Genomic DNA, 22,205 nt, shown 5'->3' with positions numbered 1-22,205 from the left:
CTGAGCTCCACCTCCTGTCAGATCAGTGGTGGCATTAGATTCTCTTAGGAGCGTGAGCCCTCTTGTGAACTGCGCATGCGAGAAATCCAGATTATGCATTCCTTACAAGAACCTAATGCCTGATGATCTGTCACTGACCCCATCACCCCCAGATGGGACCATCTACTTGCAGGAAAACAAGCTCAGGGCTCCCACTGATTCTACATTATGATGAGCTGTCTAATTATTTTATTATATATTACAATGCAATAATAATAGAAATAAAGTGCACAATAAATGTAATGTGCTTGAATCATTCCAAAACATCCTCCCCCATCCCCAGTCTATGGAAAAATTATCTTCCATGAAACCAATACCTGGTGCCAAAAAGATTGGGTACCACTGCTATAGACAGTGGAATGGTTTTGTTGAGTGTAGTGGGTTAAAGAGTATCCTCTGAAAATTGAAGTACATTTGGAAGCTCAGAATTTGACCTTGTTTGGAATAGTCTTCACAGAGGTTGTATGAGTTGAGGATCTCAAGAAAGATCATCCTAGATTTATGGTGGGCCCTAAATCCAGTGACTGGTATCCTCAAACGTAAAAGAGAGGGAGATTTTAGATCTTCTGAGAGACACAGAAAAGAAACACAAAAAAAGGCAATGTGAAGGTGGAGGGAGGGATTGGAGGGATGCACTCAAAAACAAATAAATGCCAAGAACTTCTTTCAAACACTAAAAGCTAGGAGAGAGGCATGCCATGGATTCCTTCTCGGAACCCCCAGAAGGAATCAACCAGCCAACGCTTTGGTTTTCAGTGTCTGAGTTCTGGCCTCCTGAATTGTGAGAAAATACATTTCTGTTGTTTGAAGCTACTATGCTCTGCTCATGGTGATTTGTTATAGCGGCCCTAAGAAACTAATGCACTGGGTTTGTTGAGAGCCATTGTGAACCAAAAAGTATCTGACACAGGTCTCAATAAATTTAGAAAGTTTATTTTGTCAAGGTTAAGGACACTCCTGTGACATCACCTCAGGAAGTCCTGATGACATGTGCCCAAGGTGGTAGGGGCACAGCTTGGTTTTATACATTTTAGGGAGATATGAGACATCAATCAATATATGTAAAATGTCCATTGGTTCAGTCTGGAAAGGTGGGACAACTTGATCTGGGGAGGAGGTGTTCCAGGTCATAGGTGGATAAGAGACAAACAGTTGCATTCTTGTGAGTTTCTGATTAGCCTTTCGCTGAATATACAATCTAGGGGAATAGTCACTTACACCTTAGTCTGGCTTAGTGAAACAGTAGGGCAAAGGAAGCAGTCAGATATGCATTTGTCTCACATGAGCAAAGGAATGACTTTGAGTTCTGTCTGTCCTTTGTCCACAGGGGATTTCCTTGTGAGCAAATTGTGAGGGAGGTAGGTAGGTAGCTTTTTTATCTTTGTTCTATCTTAATTAGGAATAGAATGGGAGGCAGGCTTGCCCTGCAGTTCCCAGCCTGACTTTTCCCTTTGGCTTAGTGATTTGGGGGTCCCAGGATTTATTTTCCTTTCACAACATTTTGTCCACCAGGGAGGATCTGTCCTAGGAATGGAGAGAGAAAGAGCGAGCTTGGATCATAACACTGGGGCCATGGATCCAGCTAGGCTTGAAGTCAGTTGTGCCTCTGTGTGTGAAACAATAACTGCCCTCTTTTTGTTTAAGCTCATTTGAGTTTAAGTTTCTCTCGTGGATAGCTGAACGACTTCTGATAAAAACACGGCTCAGCACTGAGAAAATCTTATTCATCTTTCAAGGCCCAGCCATAGTGGTATTTTCTCCACAAAGCCTTCCCAGGTGTCCCCAGCCTGAAAACTTTGTTTCTCCCTCTGGGTTCCGATTGCTCTGCTCTCCTCCCACACACCACCCTCTTAAACTCATCTTATCCCTGCTACGAGATCTTTTAGCCTTTTGGAAGCAAGAACCCTGTCCTTATCTCATTTTCTTTAGTGCACTAGCTTTATTCCATGTACATAGCAGGTGCTCAATTCATATTTGACCAGATGAATGAAAAAAAAATTAAAGGAATAAAGAATGGGGTTTCAGTGTTTATGGAAGGGAATAGAAAATATAGTTTTGTGTTAAGGGCTCTCCTGGTGTTCCTAATACCAAACACACAAATCCTCCATCTACTTTCTCATAAATCATCCTACTAGGGAAATCAGCCAAACACCAGGACTGCTATAAACAGGCATTGGGTTGTTTACTTTACCAGCATAATAACTGCCAGGCTTTTGTAAACGGCAGTTGTTACTTCAAATCTGAAGTATCTACTATATCACTCTCTTTCCTGTTTGAAACCTTTCAGCGACTTCCCTCTGCTCTTAGGAACAAGTCCAAAGTTGTGTTCATGGCTTACAAGTTCCTTTGAAACCTGGCTTCTCCTCATCTCTCTAATCCCATGTCTTAAAATCCCCCCACCTGGAATCTATGCTTTGGCTTCTTGCAGCTCCCTGATTATGCCAACAGCTTCACCTGCTCTCTCTTCTCTTTCTTGGTGTCCCTTTTCCTCTGTCTTTCCTTCCTCCAGGTTGTTGTTGTTCTTCTAGAATGATCACTCCTTCCCCAGTTAGTTTTACCTAGCTTATTCCTACACAGGCATGAGGCCTTTGCCTAGACATCATTTTCTCCAGGGACCTTCCCTTATCCACGGGGTCTCCCCAGCCATGTGCTCCCAGAGCTCCCTGCACCTCTCTAGCATAGCTTTTACCACACTGAACTGCGATTGCCCGTTTACTTGACAATCTGCCTCATTATACAGTTTGAGCCATGCCTATTTTGATCAACATTTCATTTCTAGCACACATCACATAGTAGGGATGCTCAATGCATATTGGTTAAATGGCCTAATGATGACATAAATGATGAAAAACTTCACAGTAATTCTCAGAGTCTAACTTGTCTTAGCCATGTCCTCCTTGGTTTTTTCACTTTCTAGGGGTGACCAGGCCTTCCTATCAGAGACAGAGGAGAACAGAGGGATATAAGGGCCATGGGATCTTTAGGGAAGGCAGGGGGATCATTTCTAACATGAATCCCTGTTGTCTTAACTGTCCATGAAAACAATAATGGGAGTCACCAAGATATGTTTAACATTTTAAGGGCCTTGTAGAAATCATGTAAATGCCCAAGACAAGACTGCATAGGCTAATAAAATAAGAAGGGGCAGAAGGTGTAGTCTGTGTATGATAGACAATAGTGTGTTCTGTTTCTGCTTCTTTCCGTAAAGAAACTGTTGGGGGGAATGCACTTCTACTTAGAGGCAGATATGGCGAAGCAAACCAAAGATCTTGTGTCTCTCTCTGATGGAGATATTTAATTGCTGGCATCATGCTTCCCAGTCTGTTCTTCCTGTCTGAGCAAATTTGGAAGCCCAAGCTACCATGGAGCTATCATATGGACCTCCCAGACTGTGTGAGCAAGAAATAAACCTTGGTTGAGATAAGCCGTTCAGGTAACTTTAATATTGTTAGTTACACTAGCAAAACCAGTTTATTTTGACTGAAGTACTATTTTATACTTCTTTGAACCTCCACGACTTAGCATGGTACTTGGCGCAGAGGAGATATCAAGCATTTGTTGAATAAATAAACACATGAGTGAATGAATAGAAAATAATTAACTGTGAAACCATGTAATTGCAGACCATTGCAAATCAGAAAACAGACTTTGAGGATTAAAAATATAATAAGTGAAATAGATGCCTCCAGACATCGCATTACAAAGTCTTCTTATTTCTTGCAGCAGGAGTAAGTAAATTTGCCAATAGAACTCAGTTAAAAACATAAGTCTTTTATAAGAAACTTTGTTCATAAATCTAAGCACTTTGATTATCTCAGTTATGAATGACTTTCTCTAAAATATCAGGAATGTAGGATTCATTGATATTGGTCTTAGCTACTCAGTGGGATTTAAAACTCAATAATGAATCCAGGAAGTGGTTTTCAATTCACTTGCTCAAACAAAATCTGTCCAATAAGTGGTATTAAATCAGGTGGAGACCAATTATCAGAATCTTTTTCAGTAGACCTTTGTGACTGCATGAATATAGTCTCACCTGGTTGGAAATAATAGCATGGCATATGCTGTTATGTGCCTTTGCTTCTGCATTTACAAAAGCTCACAGCCTAATGTCAATACTGGAGGCAGGGTCTTTCTTTTCTAGTACATTGATTTTAAATTAAATTAACTTTGATCTTTAGGTCATCTCCCAGATTCTAAAAGCTGAATGCCTCATTAATGGCGAAAGCAGTAGGAGTAAATGTATTGGAGCAGGTTGAACAATTTAAATACTTTGAAATGCAACTAGTGCAAAGTAACAGTATTGCAAGCTAGCTAATTAAGGGTTATTTCCAGACATGCTGATGAGGAAAAACTGCTTGAGTGGGTGATTCTTGGAAAATAGTTGGGATCTTCCAAGCTTCTTTCTTGCCCTCTATTCTTTGGGTCCTTCTGCTGTGCTCACACAAATTTCATTTTCCACTTGAATCATGATGGTCCCAATCTATTCCCACAATATTCTCCACTTTCAGAAGGCTGTATTAGTTATCTATTGCTGCATAACAAATTACTCCAAAACTTAGTGGCTTAAACATTTATTTTCTCATGGTCTCTGTGGGTCAAGAATCTGAGCACAGCTCAGTTGGATCTTCTGCTGCAGTGTCTCCCACAGTCTTCTATAAAGGTGCCAACTGGGGCTGCACTCACCCTAAGACATGAAAGGAAATCTGCTTAGGGAAGAATCTACTTTCAAGCTCAATCATGTAGTTGTTGGCAAGATACAGCTTCTTGCGGGCAGTTGAATTGAGAGGTTTCAGTTCTTTGAGGGCTGTTGGCCAGAAACAGCCCCAAGTTCCTTAAAACATAGACCTATTCATAGGGCAGCTCAAAACATGATGAATTGCTTCATCAGAGCAAGCAGGAAAAAAGAGCCAGAGAGAGAAAATGAGAGTGAGAGCGAGAGAGAACTAGAGAGAAAGAGAGAGCGAGAGCAAGATGGAAGTCACTAACTTTTATAACCAAATTTTTGAAGTGCTATTCCACCACTTTTGTTATATGTTATTCATTAGAAATGAGTCACTAAGATCAGCCTACATTCACAGGAAGTGGATTTCTTGGGGCATGAATACTATCAAGCGGAATCATTGGAAGCCACCTTAGAAGTCAGCCTGGCATGAAGAGCAAATGCATGCTAGCAGAAAGTACTTCTTAGACTTTTTCCTCTACTACAGCTCATTAGAAGAGGAGAATGAGGCCAGGCTCGGTGGCTCAGGCCTGTAATCCCAGCACTTTGGGAGCCTGAGGTGGGTGGATCACTTGAGGTCAGGAGTTCGAGACCAGCCTGGCCAACATGGTGGAACCCTGTCTCTACTAAAAATACAAAAATTAGCCGGGCTTGGTGGTGGGCGCCTGTAGTCCCAGCTACTTGGGAGGCTGAGGCAAGAGAATTGATTGAACCTGGGAAGTGGAAGTTGCAGTGAGCCGAGATCGTGCCACTGCACTCCAGCCTGGGCAAAGAAGTGAGACTGGAGACTCCGTCTCAAAAAACAAACAAACAAAAACAACAACAAGAAACAGGAAAATGAATGGATATTTGTGATTGAGGCAGCTTTCTGAAGTGAAGAAAATTATTTGATATGTTTTAACTTAAAAATTAAAGAATTTATGTATATGTATATATATATGCCCAGAAGAAGGATTTCTTGGTCATATGGCAATCCTACTTTTAATCTTTTGAGGAACCTCCATATTGTTTTTCCTAATGGCTGTACCCGATTATCTTCCCACCAACAGTGTACAAAGGTTTCCTTTACTCCACATCTTTGCCAACACTTGTTATTTGTTTGTTTGTTTATTTATTTATTTTTGAGACAGAGTCTACTCTGTCGCCTGATCTGGAGTGCAGTGGCACGATCTCAGCTCACTGTAACCCTCCGCCTTCTGGGTTCAAGCAATACTCCTGCCTCAGCCTCCTGAGTAGCTGGACTTACAGGCATGCACCACCACCCCGGCTAATTTTTTTGTATTTTTAGTAGAGATGGGGTTTCGCCATGTTGGCCAGGCTGGTCTCAGACTCCTGACCTCAGGTGATCCGCCCGTTTTGGCCTCCCAAATTGCTGGGATTACAGGCTTGAGCCACCGTGCCTGACCCTTCTTGTATTTTTTATAATAACCATGCTAGTTGGTGTGAAGTGATATCTCATTGTGCTTTTAATTTGTATTTCCCTGATAATTACTGAAGTTGAGCACCTTTGCCTGTATCTGTTGGCTATTTTTGTCTTTTTTGGAGAAATGTCTATTCAGATTGATTGCCCATTTTAAAATCAGATTATTTTAATTTACTGTATTTTTTGCTATCGAGTTGTGTAAGCGCCTAACATATTTTGGATATTAACCCCTTATCAGATTCATGGCTTACAAATATGTTTTTCCCAATATGTAGGCTGCCTTTTTATTTTGTTGATTGTTTTCTTTTCTGTGTAGAACCTTTTTATTTTGTGGTAGTGCCACTTGTTTATTTTTTTTCTCAACTGAGTTTTTGGTGGGATATCCAAAAATAATTGCCAAGGCCAATGTTTTCTCTGTGTTTTCTTCTAGGAGTTTTATAGTTTCAGGTCTTACATTTAGGTCTTTAACTCATTTCTAGATGATCTTTGTGTATGTTCTAATATAAGAGTCCAATTTCATTCTTTTACATGTAGATATCCAGTTTTCCCAGCACCATTATTGAAGAAGCCACCCTTTCCCCATGTGTCTTCTTGGTTCCCATGTTAAAAATTAATTTACTGTATGTGCTTGGATTTATTTCTGGGTCTGTATTCTGTTCTCAGCAATCCCTCTTCTGAGTATATATCCAAAGGGTATGAGATCAGCAGCTCATAGAGATAGCTGTGCTCCCATGTTCATTGCAGCATTATTCAGAGTAGCCAAGACATGGAATCAACCAAAATGTTCACTGACAGATAAATGGATAAAGAAATTGTGGTACACACACACACACACACACACACACACACCCCAATATATATATATATATAGGAATATTATTCAGCCTTCAAAAGGAAGGGGATCTTGCCTTATCCAACAACATGGATGAACCCTAAGGATATTATGTGAAAGTGAAGTAAGCCAGACACAGAAGTAAAAATACTGTATGATTTCCCTTATACAGAGAGTAGAATGGTGGCTACCAGCGGCAGAGGTGTTAAGGAAGGGGGTAATGGAGAGATGTAGTTCAAAGTTTATAAAGTTGCAGTTACTTGGAATGAATAAGTCTAGCAACCTAATGCATGGCATAGGACTCTAATTAAAAATATTTTATTGTATACTGCAAATTCACTGAGAATAGATACCAGGTGCTTTTACCACATGCACACATGCAAAGGTAGCTGTGTGAGATGATGAATATGTTCAGTAGCTTGACCGTAGTAATCATTTCACTATGCCTATGTATAACAAAACATGTGCATCTTAAATATACACAATAAAAATTAATGTTTCATTTTACTTCATCTATCCTATAAAAGTTACTACATATACTGTGCTTATTACATTCCAGGGATTCTTCTAAGTGTCTAATATGTATTAACTTGTTTTATTTTCTCACACACACAAAAATTCTACAAGAGAGTATCTCCATTTAAAAGACTGGGAGACTGAGGGGAAGATAGGTTCAATGAGTTGATCAAGGTTACTCACCTAGTTAATGAAAGAATCAGGATTCAGCCAAAGCAATCAAAGTCCAAAGTCCAGATTATTATGTATTATATTTTACTTCCTTTCTAGAGTGTTTTGAATTACCTGCTGTTATGGGCTGGATTGTGTGCCCCTGAAATTCATATGTAGAAGTCCTAATCTCTAGTACCTCAGAATGTGATTATACTTGGAGAAAGGCTTTTAAAGAGATAATTAAGGTTAAATAAAGCCATTGGGGGTGAGTCCTAATCAAATAAGACTAGAGACCTTCTAAGAAGAAGAGGTTAGGACACAGACACACACAAACAGGGAAGCCCATGTGAAGACACCGGAAGACGATGGCCATTTACAAACCAAATGAGGGGGAAGGCAGAAAAAACACTTCCACCACCCTGGTCTTGAACTTCTAGACTCCAGGACTGTGAGGAAGTACATTTCTGTTGTTTAAGCCACCTGATCTGTGTTATTTGTTATGGCTGTCTTAGTAAACCAATACACCTGCCATCAGGAATATTAATACCCCAGGGTGGTGTGCCATTTTCTGTCTGTGCCTTCCAGTATCCCCTGGTATGCTCCAGTATTACTAGTGTAGGTGTTATGGAAAGCTCATGGCATTTGGCAGCCAAAGCAAGAATTACCTTTAGCATGCAAAATTAGGCAAGCCCCATAACTTCCCTGTAAAGTGGATCTAACAACCTCTACCTCACAGGGCTGTTGAGAGGATTAATGAGATAATGTGAAAGTGCCTGGCACAGTAGCTGACATATATTAAATCCTTAGTAAATGTCATTTATTCCTTAAACAGCAAGTCACATGTTCAAGTAATTACTGAAGACACTTAACAGAAGCATGCCCCTTGTTCACTCTTTCTCTATGTCCATGCAGTCCTAGAAAGAGATGAAAAACATATTCTCAGTTTTTCTTCAGTGCAGGCATTCTCTATATTGGTTCATTACAATTGTTCTTCATCCTGGTCCAGACCCTTACTACCATTTTCATGTAAATGCAAAATTTCAAGAGAATTCTAAAATGGCCTAGCTTCCAGTCTTCTGTGAGTTCTTTAGACTGGAGATGATTCAGAAAAATATGTCTTACTGTAAAAACAACAACAAAAATTCCATCAGAGTGGGCTGCAGTTTCATTCAACCAGGGCCTACTGAGTACCTAATGTGCAGGCAGTAAGCTACTTCCTATAAACTGTCACCCAACGACTAATACAATAAAGGCAATCTCAACTTGCAGCAAAGCCAGAATAGTTATAGAACAGGGAAGATCTGGATTCCCTGGCATTTTATATTGATCAGATCACATTTGCAACTATTTTCAATTGTGGACACTCTTTTTAAATATATAAATTAACAAAGGATATCATGTTCACTGGATGGTGGGAAGTCTAGGTAAAAAATTATTTAAATAAATGGGGACAATGCATCAGAAGGTAAAACCTAGGGAGGGTACTTTAAGTGTTTTAAATTCTTCAAATTTTGTCACTTGGAAGGTCTCATTACTGTTGCTCCTGGTAACAAAACTACAATAGTGAGGCATAATTCAATTAAGAGAAACTAAAAATTTCTGCTATGGACTGAATTGTATCTCCTCACCCCCACCCAACCAAATTTATATGCTGAAGCTCTACCTCTCAATGTGAGTGTGTTTGGAGGTAGGGCTTTTTAAAGGTAATTAAGGTTAAAAGAGATCATAAGGGTAGGATCATAATCAAATAGAATTGGTGGCCTTATAAGAAAAGGAAGAGATCTCTATGTCTCAGGAAAAGTCCATGTGAGGACATAGTGAGATGAGTGTTTACAAGCCAGTAAGCGGACCCTCACCAGGAACTGAATCAGCTGGCGTCTTCATCTTGGACTTCCCAGCCTTCAGAGCTGTGAGAAAATAAGTTTTGTTGTTTTAGCCACCAAGTCTATGTTATTTTGTTATGGCAGCCCAAGCTGCCTAAGGCAAAGTCTAAAAGCTAAAATTAAATGATGTAATGAGCATTGAATACCAAGCAGGGCCCTAGATGCACGTGTGTTTGTTAGGGCACACTACAGAAGGATTTTCCAGAGTGGGTTAGAGGTTGGAGTGGCTGACTTTTATGGTTTCTTTCTCCTCTGAGATTCTATAATTTCCAAGCCTTCAAAGCCAGATAGGTACAGAACCCCAGGTTCCTCTGCTTGTATTGCCATCCATCTTCTCACTTTAAGGAGGACGGAGACTTGACAAATTGGTTTCATCTCTTGTGTCAACTCTGATTACTTGGCAGTGGCTGCCTGGAACACTGTTTTGAGAAGGGTTTTGAAGCTTTCAGGAAAAAAATCCATCATAGAAAGAGCTAATATTTATTGGACACTTGTCATGTACCAGGTCCTATTCTAAACCTGGTATTTGTTTTAATTTACTTTATACTTGCCACAACTCTAAGAGGTGAATTAATGTGAGCATTTTTTTTATAAGAATGTCAAGACACAGACAAGCAACTACTCAAAGGCCACATGGCTGGTAAATGGCAACATCAGACCACACACCCAGTAGTTTGGCTTAAGAGCATGCCGATAACATCACGCTGTAATATCTTTCCAACAACCCATTTGCGATATTTATCATGAGCGGTAGGGGATGAAGAGGTATGTGCTTGAAAGGCAATCAGGATCTACTTTGGAGGAAACTCAAACTAAGACAAGTAAGCATAAAGTATTTTTATTTGAATGCCATAGTTATTCAGACCCAAATCAGAAAATGTTCAGACAACTTAATAATTGAATAACAGGTCTGTGCTCGGTAACAATAAATTACAAGGAAGCTGTGTCTGGAATTCCACGATTTCTTCCAAAATTCTGTTTGGAGTTATGTTGTATTAGTTCATGCTACGATGGGTAGTAGGAATAGGTAACACCAGTTATTAAACCATATTTCTCTGACTTTGCAGCTATCCATGATTGCAGGAACTCCAACTTCCTTCTTAATCTAATTCTCCCTTCCAGATATCTATTTATAGAAGTATGCTAGCAATCACATATGCCCAATAGTTGCCCCACACACCTCATTGCTTTCATTAGCTCTCCTCCTTTCTTGCTCTAGCTCCCTGTGACAGTATCTGCTTGAGTTTTTCATGCAATCTCTTGTTCAGGATGCTGATAGCTGCAAAACTATTTCCTTTTCCATCTTGTCACCTAACTGTGTCTCCTGAAGGTAATACCATTGTCTTTTTCTTCTGTGGTTTAGATTTGCTTGATTTCCTCAGTTAACCATGTCTGTTGAATACTCTATCAGTAACCCCCAAATTTGACACATGACAGTAGGTTTTTCCCTATAGACAAGCACAGCAGTTTCTCCAATTAACTCCAAAGGATGATTCCCAATATCTTATGTCCCTCAGTGTCTGGCAGATTTATGAGACACAGTGAATGGGAGGCACTGGCTTACAAAATAACCTTTCCAAGCCAAGCATTCATTGTGAATACACCTGATTTTTTGCATGATTTGAAGAAAATTCCATGTCTCTCCCTGCACAAATCTCAATGTGTCTCATTTTAGAATTTATTTAAAATAATACTTTCTGCCAAATTGGCCTCATGAGCCCTGTATTATTTCTCCTTCCAAAATTTCCTTGTGTTCTCCTTATTGTAGAGAAGGCTAAGGAGAGATGATAAAAATCTACCATTCTTGATCCTGCATTTTAAAATGCAAAATGTCAAAACCAAATAAAGTAGGTCAAGGCTTCTCTGTATTTAGCAGACACTAGTGCTTGTCCATATCAGCAAATATTAAAGTTGATAGATAATCAAAAGTGTGATATCTTTCTTTAGTATAAGAAAATGTTATCAAGGGGCTAGCATTCTATTTTTGTCTTAGTCAAAGAAATGGAACAAATCCAAATATATAACTTTATTGCTTATGAATATATAGATGAGTATTTTGTACATTTAAATAAAGGTACTTTATTTTGCATTTATTTGGACAACGAGTAATAGTTAAACACATTCAACTCATTAATTATCAGTGAAGTCTGTTCAAATACAGCCTGTGATTAAGTTCATGAAACCTTCAGGGGTTTGAAGCAATATTTAAAATTCTCATAGAACAAAATGGAAGAATGTGCAAGAAGGAATAATACTTGAATTCAAGACTAGAGGTATCTGGGGAAAACTGTAAGTCTTTGGTTTATTTTGAGATTGAAGGTTATGAATATCTTCCATTATTCTGGGACATAATAATACTCAGTTGGACAAACATAATAAAATGTGTAAGTAAAATTAAGTGATGGTGCTACTATTCCTTCTAATAATAGCAACTCTAATATCTAGGATACATGCTATGTTTCTTTAGTGAAGAAGAAAAATGTAAAAACCTCTGAAGCAGACCAACACTATTAATAGAATGAATGATTTTTTAAAATTCACCTCACTAATATCAATGAGTGATTTTAACAGCTACTTGCAGGATAATGAAAAGATGCTGCTATTAGTTAGTGGAGAGAGGCACGGGGTTGAAGGGCTTCATCCTGGGAAAGAAGATTGCAACCTGAAGCCTCAAATCTTTCATCTCCTTCCAAATATGCCACCTGCCTCCTTAAAGTATGAGAAGAGAGTTATAGTGATACCTATGTGAAATTGGAATTTTTCCTTGATGAGAATGTCATCTGTGTCTAATCCTGGAACCATTAGACACAGGAAGGGGAACATCACACACTGGGGCCTGTTGTGGGGTGCGGGGAGGGAGGAGGGATAGCATTAGGAGGTATACCTAATGTTAAATGACAAGTTAATGGGTGCAGCACACCAACATGGCACATGTATATATATGTAACAAACCTGCACGTTGTGCACATGTACCTTAAAACTTTAATAATAAAAAAAAGAAAAACACTGTATCATAAAAAAAAAAAAAGAACCTGATTCCCTAGAGTTCATGCTGTTATGCCCAATCAACAGCTAAATCCAATCCTTCAAAATAGGGAACATTGAGTTTGGAGCAGTTGCTCTACCATTTTCAGGGCACTGGCTGGGAACGTTGTCCTGAAAGCCATTCATGCCCTAGAAATGCTTGACATTGGCTTTATATCCATGATCCTGCATCCATTTCTGGTTTGGATGTAGGACTCCCTGAACCCGCGTCTCTGAGTGTTTGCAATGGACTCATCCTGCATCCCCTCTGCAATCTCTAATTTAGACTCTAGTTGTGTCTCAAGTACCCGGGCTGTGTCCTTAGGCCTATCAAAACTTTATGCCTGTCTATATTCTTCCCTGGTAAAAGAACTTCCTCCAACCCCCAACCAGCCACCTGCCATTTGTCATCAACAGTCTCCTAATCTGAATCGTGGGTTCTACATCTGCTATTTGCTCTGTGCCACCCTGTGGCTCCCAGGAAGAGCAGCCCTACCTGGAAGGCAGGTTGACCTCTTGTGTCTGAAAGTACTCCTTCTGACGCATTCATTTTCCTGATCTCTTTCTCTTTGGTGAAATGAAAACTAAATGTATAAGATTTATTAAAGGTGGTGGCAGTGGTAGACGAGGAGGAGGAAGAAGAAAAAATCATATAGGAGGAGATTGCTTTCAATGTCACTAACATAATAATTGATAATTCATGTGAAATGGTTAACACCTCTTGCTAAAATGGAAGCTCATGGAAGAGTGCAATTTTCTCTTATCAACTCAGACACCACCTCCTCTTCCCCCAATAAGTGACTATTACATCAGAAAGAGTTTTGAAATGTCCCTTTCTAAACTAAAATATCAAGAAGCCAGATTTGACTGTGTATATATATATATATATATATATATATATACACACACACATATACATATATATATAGTGCTTCTGTGTGTATATCTGTATCTAACTATATCTATCTACATCTAGATATCTATATGTAGATATGATATATCACATAGATACCTATTAATCTATATATAGTCCTTCTTTGCAGCATATTATATGTGTATATATATATATTTTACATCCCTGCAATATATACATTATATACATTGTATATATTGCAAACAGCACAGAGGTCGAGTGCACTAAACTATATGTGTGTGTGAGAGAGAGAGAGAAAGAAAGAGAGAGGAAAAAACTCCTGTTAGAATGGATTTAAATTTCTGTGATTCTGAAACTTTACAATTTAGGGAGTCTTCTTTTTTAAAAAAATAAAAGCACCTAAAATTATAAATAATAACTTAATAATTAGAATGACTATTTAGAATGAGAATAGAAATCCAACAAACAATAGATTTTTAACAGCTGACAAGTACCACAAACATCACAAAAAATAACAATGTTTATATTACTCAACTGCCTGACATAGCTCTATAATATTCTTGGCTACAATATATTCTCTTATTGTTTCTTCAAATGACTATAATTTTGAAATGCAGTAATTTCTAGGGAAAATAAAAAACAATCAGCATTTCAGCAATATTGATTAATATCTGTTTTATTGTTAATAATTTAGATATTTTATCTTTAACACTAATTACTGGTACTATCTCACAAATTTAAGAAAATTATTATCATGTTCTGTTATATATGAGCTATTACAGATGTATCCACTATTTGTAATATTGGTATGTGATAAATTCTCTTTCTTACTGTCACCATAAAAAAAAAATCTTCGTAACATTTGTGATTGCAAATATCATATTATAATGAATATATTCCTGACAGGAGAGAAATTCTATTCTGATCAGACATTAATGAGAAGTGAATGCCCCCTTTTCAATATTACATGTCTGCTAATGATAGATTTTCCACGGAGCAGTTCCTGGTTCCACACAGTTGCAACCTGTTTCCCCTCCAGGACCCCACATTCTTCCTGTGCCACTGGACATGCTCATATCATGGTGATATGGGCCTTGGCCCTGCACCTTGGTGTCATGAAGCTAAGGGAGTTAGTGTAATGAATGGTGGGAGTGTGCCTGGAAGCTGTTTCATTGACAGAAAGACGAGCAATAACTTGACTTCACACAGAGGGAACTGAGCTACACAAATACATCCACTAAACACAAATTGATGTATGATTAATTCCATTTTCCCTTAGTCAGATTCCCAAATTACCTGCAGCTACATCAACAGTATCTGACTTGAAGGGAAGTATGACAGAGTGGAGAGTGGAGTGGAAAGAAACTATGGCCTTCAGTAATTGTGGTTGTTATTTCGTTTTTGCAAATTTTACACATTTACAGAACCTTGGAAAGGGGCTGGTGCAGTTGAAGATTTCCAAAGTTTCACTTTCTTAGCTTCATGGTAAATTCAACTCTCTTCGAGCCAGCATCTTCCTGAGTGCTTAGGAAAGATGGGAAACTAAGCCCCCGCATGAAACGTTATTGAAGATGACTTAGCATTTAGAGACTATTCTTTGAGAAAAAGCATTATCAAAGACTAGAGATAAATCACACTTAGTAATTAGGTTCGTGAAGCAAGGTACCATATAGACATTTCTCATGTCAACTGATGGGAATGTCATAGAACACACTACAAGAAAAATCCAAATGGGTATGGTAGTATTCCCATAGATCTAATTTCTTATTGAGGAGAAACTGTATTTTACTGTCAGACACAAAGTGTCTTATTTATAATTTATTGAATATTGTGACACCATAAGAAATATATATTTGGTCTATGTCCCTTGTTCTGACAGAAAGCTTCTAAAACCCCTGCAATTTCCTGAGTGATGGGGTTGACAAAAATGTCACACAGAGCTCCTAAATCCCTTGGAATTTTTTGGGTGATATTAGAATCTCTTGTTCTAATGAGATGACTCTTAGCGTGCTCATAAATAGCTTCAGGATAAGAGCTGGTCATCAGAAAGACCAAACCAGGATTAGAAACTTGAAACTGTCAGCCCCATTCCCTATCGTATGGGGAGGAAAGAGGAACTGAAGATTGAGTTAATAATCATACCGATACAATAAAGCCTCCAGAAAAATCCCTAAATGCTGGAATTTGGAGACCTTCTAGGTTGGCGAATGCACCCACGTGTCAGAAGGGTAGTATACCCCAATCTATGGGAACAGAAGTTTCTGTATTCAGGACCCTTCTGGACCTGACCCCATACACCTCTTCATCTGGCTGTTGATTTATAGCCTTTATAATACCCTTTGTAATAAAAATGTTAAGTAAAGTGTTTCCCTGAGTTCTGTGAGCTGTTATAACAAATTATTGAACCTGGGGGGAGGATTACGGGAACCCTTGATTTGTAGCTAAGTTGGACAGAAGTGTGGGTACCCTGGGCAACCAGTACTTGTGACTGGCAGTAGGGCAGTATTCTGGGACTGAAGCCTTAACCTATGAGGTCTCTCTTAACTATGCATAGTCAGTGTCAGAATTGAATTAAGCTATAGGACACTCAGTTTGTGTCTGGAAAGTTAGAGAACTGGTTGGTACAAGAAGAAAAATTCCCATGCCTTTTGTATCAAAAGCGTTGTGAGCAGAAAAACAGTCTTCTTTTAAATATAAGAACTTGCCAAACAGGCATGGTGGTTCATGTCTGTAATCCCCAGCCCTTTGGGAGGTTGAGGCAGGAGGACTGCTGGAACCCAAGAGTTTGAGATCAGCCTGGGCAACATAACAAGATCCCATTTCTACGAAAAAACACAAAACACAAAAATTAACCAGGCATGGTGGCATGCTCCTATAGTCCCAACTACCAGGGGAACTGAGGCAGGAGGATCACTTGAGCCCAAGAGTTTGAAGCTGCAGTGAGCTATGATCACACCACTACGGTTCAAACTAGATGACAAAGTGAAAGAACCTGTCTCTTGAAAAAAAAAAGAAAAGAAAAAGGAAAAAAGGATATACTTTAAAATATACATAGTTTTTATCCTGTAGTATAGATTTCAGTCATTCTCAAATTCTGCTGTTGTCTGTAAATCATCTGGGCAAGTGACTGAGCTTTATGGACACTACATCACTAGTATAGTCTTTAGTCTTGATTTTGATGTTCAAATTGGGCTAAACCAGGATAAATAGCCCCTATATAGTATTCTGTCTTAATAAGACTGATTTGCTGGGTATGCTGCAAGTTACAAAAGGAGAATATATTTCAAAGACTGAAAGAATCACCTGTATTATGAGTACACTATTTGCAATAACTAAACCTGGATATTCTGGACTGAAGAAAGTATGGTGGGTTCTTCAGGTGGTACATAGAAACTGGAGCAAATGAAGGAAATGATGACAATAGATCCCACAAACTGATGAATACGCTCTATGACAAAATTTAAACAAGATTTAAAACGTTAATTATAAAATCTATGACAGTTGATTGTAAAATGAATCACTTTTCTATTACGAAGGAGATACAGAAAAACACTGCATCACTGTAAGAAAAAGAGATTCCCTTATTGAATAAAGCTAAGTGTGAGACATATGGGGAGTCATGAAGTCAAGATCCTGACTCTGAGTGGAGAGAAATAGAAGCATAAGCTACTAGCACAGCATTCTAGAGGATATGCTCTTGCTCCTCAAATGCTTACCTCAAGTTATTGAAGGAATCACGTTTGCTTTATATATGTATCTATTTCTTATGTGCATAATTAAGAATTTGTTAAAGAAATCTAGGGCTGACAAATACCGAAAAGAAGTTACCTAAATTCTTTTTCTTTGGGATAAAAATATCTCTAGGTTGCTGCTGGTGCTGGGGCCCGAGGAGGTCCGCGCCGGAGGAGGGCCACAGGGACTGAGCGAGTGACAGACGCACCACCCGTCAATGCTGCAACCCTGTAAGGCCTCCATGGACTCTCTACGTGAGTGTAGAATGAATCAAGCCGACTCAAACACAGCAGCTATTCCACATGCAGTGGAAGATATTCAAGGAGACGACAGATGGATATCTCAGCACAACAGATTTGTCCTGGATGGTAAAGACAAAAAGCCTAACGTTGTGTTTGTGGGAGACCCCATGGTGCAGTTAATGCAGCAACACGAGATATGGCGAGAGCTTTTTTCCCCGTTTCACGCACTGAATTTTAGAACTGAGGAAGATACAAGACATGTTTTATAGAAAATAAAGAGTAGAGAACTGGAGAATATTAAACTTAAGGTCATTGTTCTCTGGGTAAAAACAAACAACCATGAAAATACAGCAGTAGAGTTAGAAGGTAGGATCAAGGCCATCATTCACTCTACCAATTTATCAACATAAGGCAGCCACAAGGCAAAATTCTTGTATTGGATGTGTTACCTTGAGGTGAGAAGCCCAACACTTTGAGGCAAAAGGTGAACCAGCTTCTCAAGGTTTCCTTGCTGAAGCTTGCCCATGTGTAGGTCCTGCATACAGACGGGGGCTTCATGCACCCTGACAGTGCCATCTCCTGCCATGACATATTTGATTCTCTTCATCTTACAGGAGAGGGCTCTGCAAAGATCTGCAGAGCCCTCTATGAACTGATCATGCAGCTGATGGAGGAACACCCAAGGAGAGAAACAAACCACCATTGCCTGACTGGCTCCCATCAGCGTTAATCTCTTCCCAGCTTCCTTGATCAGTTATGCCACTGGCACTACAGAATCCATCTCTTTCTCAAAGCACTTTGCATTGCAAAATGTTCCTGGATGTTCAGCTCTAGTGTTTGAAAGGGTGGAGGGATTTACACTGGCCTTGCACGTAGAAGGTTTATTAGACACAGGAGAAAAAATAGCCTAGGAAGATTGTTGTTTAAATTTATCTGAAACCAGAAGGAGACTTTTTAGTTGTATGTGTGATGCATTTGTTGAATTATCACTGTTTTTCCTAGGACAATATCAAGTCCAAGAACTGACCGATATGAAGTTTTTTTTTCTTGGCCTTGCTTTCTATGGGTTATGTCATATGTAATAATTATCAGAATCACACCTACTTGGCTTAAAAACAGATTTTTATTTTAATTTTTAAAGCTCATAATTTAACCTTTTTTCTTGTTTTGCTTTATTCATATATATCCTCAATATTTTCTTAACATGCAGCAACAGATTGAACATGCTTGCCATTCAAATATGAGAGATGCTATAGTTACAAAGGAATTTGTTCCACTTTCTTAATCCTTCCTATGCATAGCAGTGAAAAACAAATTTTGCCCCATGCAGGGAACCCTTTGGAAGGTTTTTTGGTTTTGTTTGTTTGTTTGTTTTTTGTTTAGATGGATTCTCATTCTGTTGCCCAGGCTGGAGTGCAATAGCATGATCTCGGCTCACTGCAACCTCTGCCTCCTTGGTTCAAGCGATTCTCCTGCCTCAGCCTCCGGAATAGCTAGGATTACAGGCCCCCACCACCACGCCTGGCTAATTTTTTTGTGTTTTTAGTAGCAACGGGGTTTTACCATGTTGGTCAGGCTGATCTCGAACTCCTGACCTCAGGTGATCCACCCACTTCGGCCTCCCAAAGCGCTGGGACTACAGGCGTGAGCCACCGCAGTCAGCTGGAAGGTATCATTTTTATGTTGCTAAATATCATGTCTATCATAAACCTATGCCTGCAGCCTTTCCTCTTCTCTGAAGTATAAGCCCCCCTTACTCTCATGATATTACCAATGTAGAACTCATTCTTGTGTGGTATTCTGCACTATAGAGTCTGCGTAGTGTTCTGGTATGTTCTGGTATGTTTTGTTTGCTTTTCCCTGAAAATCTGCTATAGTTTCCTTTTTTTGGAAAAAAAAAACAACAAAAACCTCTGCTTTCCATTCCATACTACCTGCCATTATTTCAAGTTTTATAATATCCCAAGGTGTACATTTTATTTTTTTTTAATTGACTTTGTTTTTAAATAAAGCAGTCCAGAAAATTTGGTCTTTTCCCGGGAGGAAACAAATGAAGCTGCTCTTCAGAATAGCCATTCTGCTTTTATCCCACCAGTTCAGTAAAAAAGAACTAGATTTGTTTAACTTTTAAGGTTTCTCATTAACGTACCTTCACCTGAAAATTTCCTTCAAGAGAGCTCTTTATAATCTTAATGTTTGCTTGGGCAACAAGAACTGCCATGTAAAAATAAATAATGGGACGATAGATGGCATATTGTTCAATATACCTGCGGAATATGTATAAACTGGATGTACAGACAGATATTTTGAACTAGACCAGGTGGGTATTGAAGTAACCCAACAAAATGTGATCTGCAGTGATTCTGCTTAATGTTCAAATTCAACAGCTAAGGTATATGTTTTATGTTCTGCTCGCAAGGCAAATGGCAGTACTTTTGTGTGCTGGAGGAGAGGTTGCTGATTGGTGCCAAGACCCACTTCTGATTGAGAGGGATAAAAGTTGGGCTGAATTTTCTCTAGTCAAGACTCCTTCTAGATTTTTTTTTTTGTCTTTAAAAATACATACTTTAAAAATGTATCATGTCTTCATTAATAACAGAAAATACACATGGTGCTCACTAAATTTGTTTACTACATTAAAATTTCCTTTTTGTTTTTAGTAGTCCAGGTTCTTGAGTTTTTTCAAGGCAGAATTTTTTTATTTTATTTTATTTTTAGCTGAGGTACAGTTGTATAGGAAGGAGAATTAAGCCAGAATTTGGTGTGTGCAAAGACAATTTCCTATCCAGGTCTTTTTCTGTCAGAGAGTGAGAGTTTTGTCCAAATGAACCCATTAGGTTACTACTGAGCATGCGATTTTAGCTTTTCTTTTCACGGAGGATCAAATATCCCTTTGTGAGCTGAGCTTCCACTTGTTTGCTTATGTATGTAAACTTCAGATATCACTATATTCTATATCTACCACAGCTATTCAGGCAACAGTATTCTAATAGCTAGCCTTTAAATAAAAATCTGCCTCATTACTAATGTTCAAAAAAACAAAGATAAAAATAGGTCTAATCCTAGGTAGAAAAGGTGTTTTTCCATACATCAAGATTTATAGAAAAGGAGATTCAGAGTCATGCTAAGACAGAATTTCAATGCTTACATTGTTCTCCTCAAAGATAAATTCATTCATCTAACCATCTTACAGAGTAATCTTTGTTTTTGTTTGGTTCTTTCCATTAAAAAAATTAAGATCGATCTGTTTTTTTGCACACTAACTATTCACAAAATTTTGCTAAATTCTCTCTCCGAGTTTTGCATTTTCTTTTCTGACCAGAAAAATTCTATTTGCTTTGTTGTTTTGTCACATAATTCTTTTTTTTTTCTTTGTTTTGACATGAGGTAAATCTTTTTTTTCTTTTTTATTTATTTATTTTATTATTATTATACTTTAAGTTTTAGGGTACATGTGCACATTGTGCAGGTTACATACATATACATGTGCCATGCTGGTGTGCTGCACCCACTAACTTGTCATGTAGCATTAGGTATATCTCCCAATGCTATCCCTCCCCGTCCCCCCTCCCCCCACCCCACAACAGTCCCCAGAGTGTGATGTTCCCCTTCCTGTGTCCATGTGATCTCATTGTTCAATTCCCACCTATGAGTGAGAATATGCGGTGTTTGGTTTTTTGTTCTTGCGATAGTTTACTGAGAATGATGATTTCCAATTTCATCCATGTCCCTACAAAGGACATGAACTCATCATTTTTTATGGCTGCATAGTATTCCATGGTGTATATGTGCCACATTTTCTTAATCCAGTCTATCATTGTTGGACATTTGGGTTGGTTCCAAGTCTTTGCTATTGTGAATAATGCCGCAATAAACATACGTGTGCATGTGTCTTTATAGCAGCAAGATTTATAGTCCTTTGGGTATATACCCAGTAATGGGATGGCTGGGTCAAATGGTATTTCTAGTTCTAGATCCCTGAGGAATCGCCACACTGACTTCCACAAGGGTTGAACTAGTTTACAGTCCCACCAACAGTGTAAAAGTGTTCCTATTTCTCCACATCATCTCCAGCACCTGTTGTTTCCTCACTTTTTAATGATTGCCATTCTAACTGGTGTGAGATGGTATCTCATTGTGGTTTTGATTTGCATTTCTCTGATGGCCAGTGATAATGAGCATTTTTTCATGTGTTTTTTGGCTGCATAAATGTCTTCTTTTGAGAAGTGTCTGTTCATGTCCTTCGCCCACTTTTTGATGGGGTTGTTTGTTTTTTTCTTGTAAATTTGTTGGAGTTCATTGTAGATTCTGGATATTAGCCCTTTGTCAGATGAGTAGGTTGCGAAAATTTTCTCCCATTTTGTAGGTTGCCTGCTCACTCTGATGGTAGTTTCTTTTGCTGTGCAGAAGCTCTTTAGTTTAATTAGATCCCATTTGTCAATTTTGGCTTTTGTTGCCATTGCTTTTGGTGTTTTAGACATGAAGTCCTTGCCCATGCCTCTGTCCTGAATGGTAATGCCTAGGTTTTCTTCTACGGTTTTTATGGTTTTAGGTCTAACGTTTAAGTCTTTAATCCATCTTGAATTGATTTTTGTATAAGGTGTAAGGAAGGGATCCAGTTTCAGCTTTCTACATATGGCTAGCCAGTTTTCCCAGCACCATTTATTAAATAGGGAATCCTTTCCCCATTGCTTGTTTTTCTCCGGTTTGTCAAAGATCAGATAGTTGTAGATACGTGGCGTTATTTCTGAGGGCTCTGTTCTG

General features: G+C 38.7%; 1 pseudogene across 2 annotated transcripts in view; it reads left to right on the top strand.

The window, feature by feature from the left end:
• Positions 1 to 22,205, top strand: part of PAFAH1B2P2 (PAFAH1B2 pseudogene 2) — a 43,106-nt pseudogene that overhangs the window by 5,786 nt on the left and 15,115 nt on the right. The window contains exons 2-5 of one of the 2 annotated variants that reach the window (NR_077241.1): positions 3,248 to 3,472; positions 3,663 to 3,767; positions 10,165 to 10,390; positions 17,332 to 17,567. The product of NR_077241.1 is annotated as a PAFAH1B2 pseudogene 2, transcript variant 2 (transcript). Of the gene's footprint in view, positions 1 to 3,247; positions 3,473 to 3,662; positions 3,768 to 10,164; positions 10,391 to 17,331; positions 17,568 to 18,055; positions 20,685 to 22,205 lie in introns of those variants that run through there. The other variant, NR_077240.1, reaches the window with a different exon arrangement.

Source organism: Homo sapiens, chromosome 12, assembly GCF_000001405.40.
Source record: "Homo sapiens chromosome 12, GRCh38.p14 Primary Assembly".
Classification (NCBI taxonomy): Eukaryota; Metazoa; Chordata; class Mammalia; order Primates; family Hominidae; genus Homo; species Homo sapiens.
This window is presented reverse-complemented; position numbering and strand designations above follow the sequence as displayed.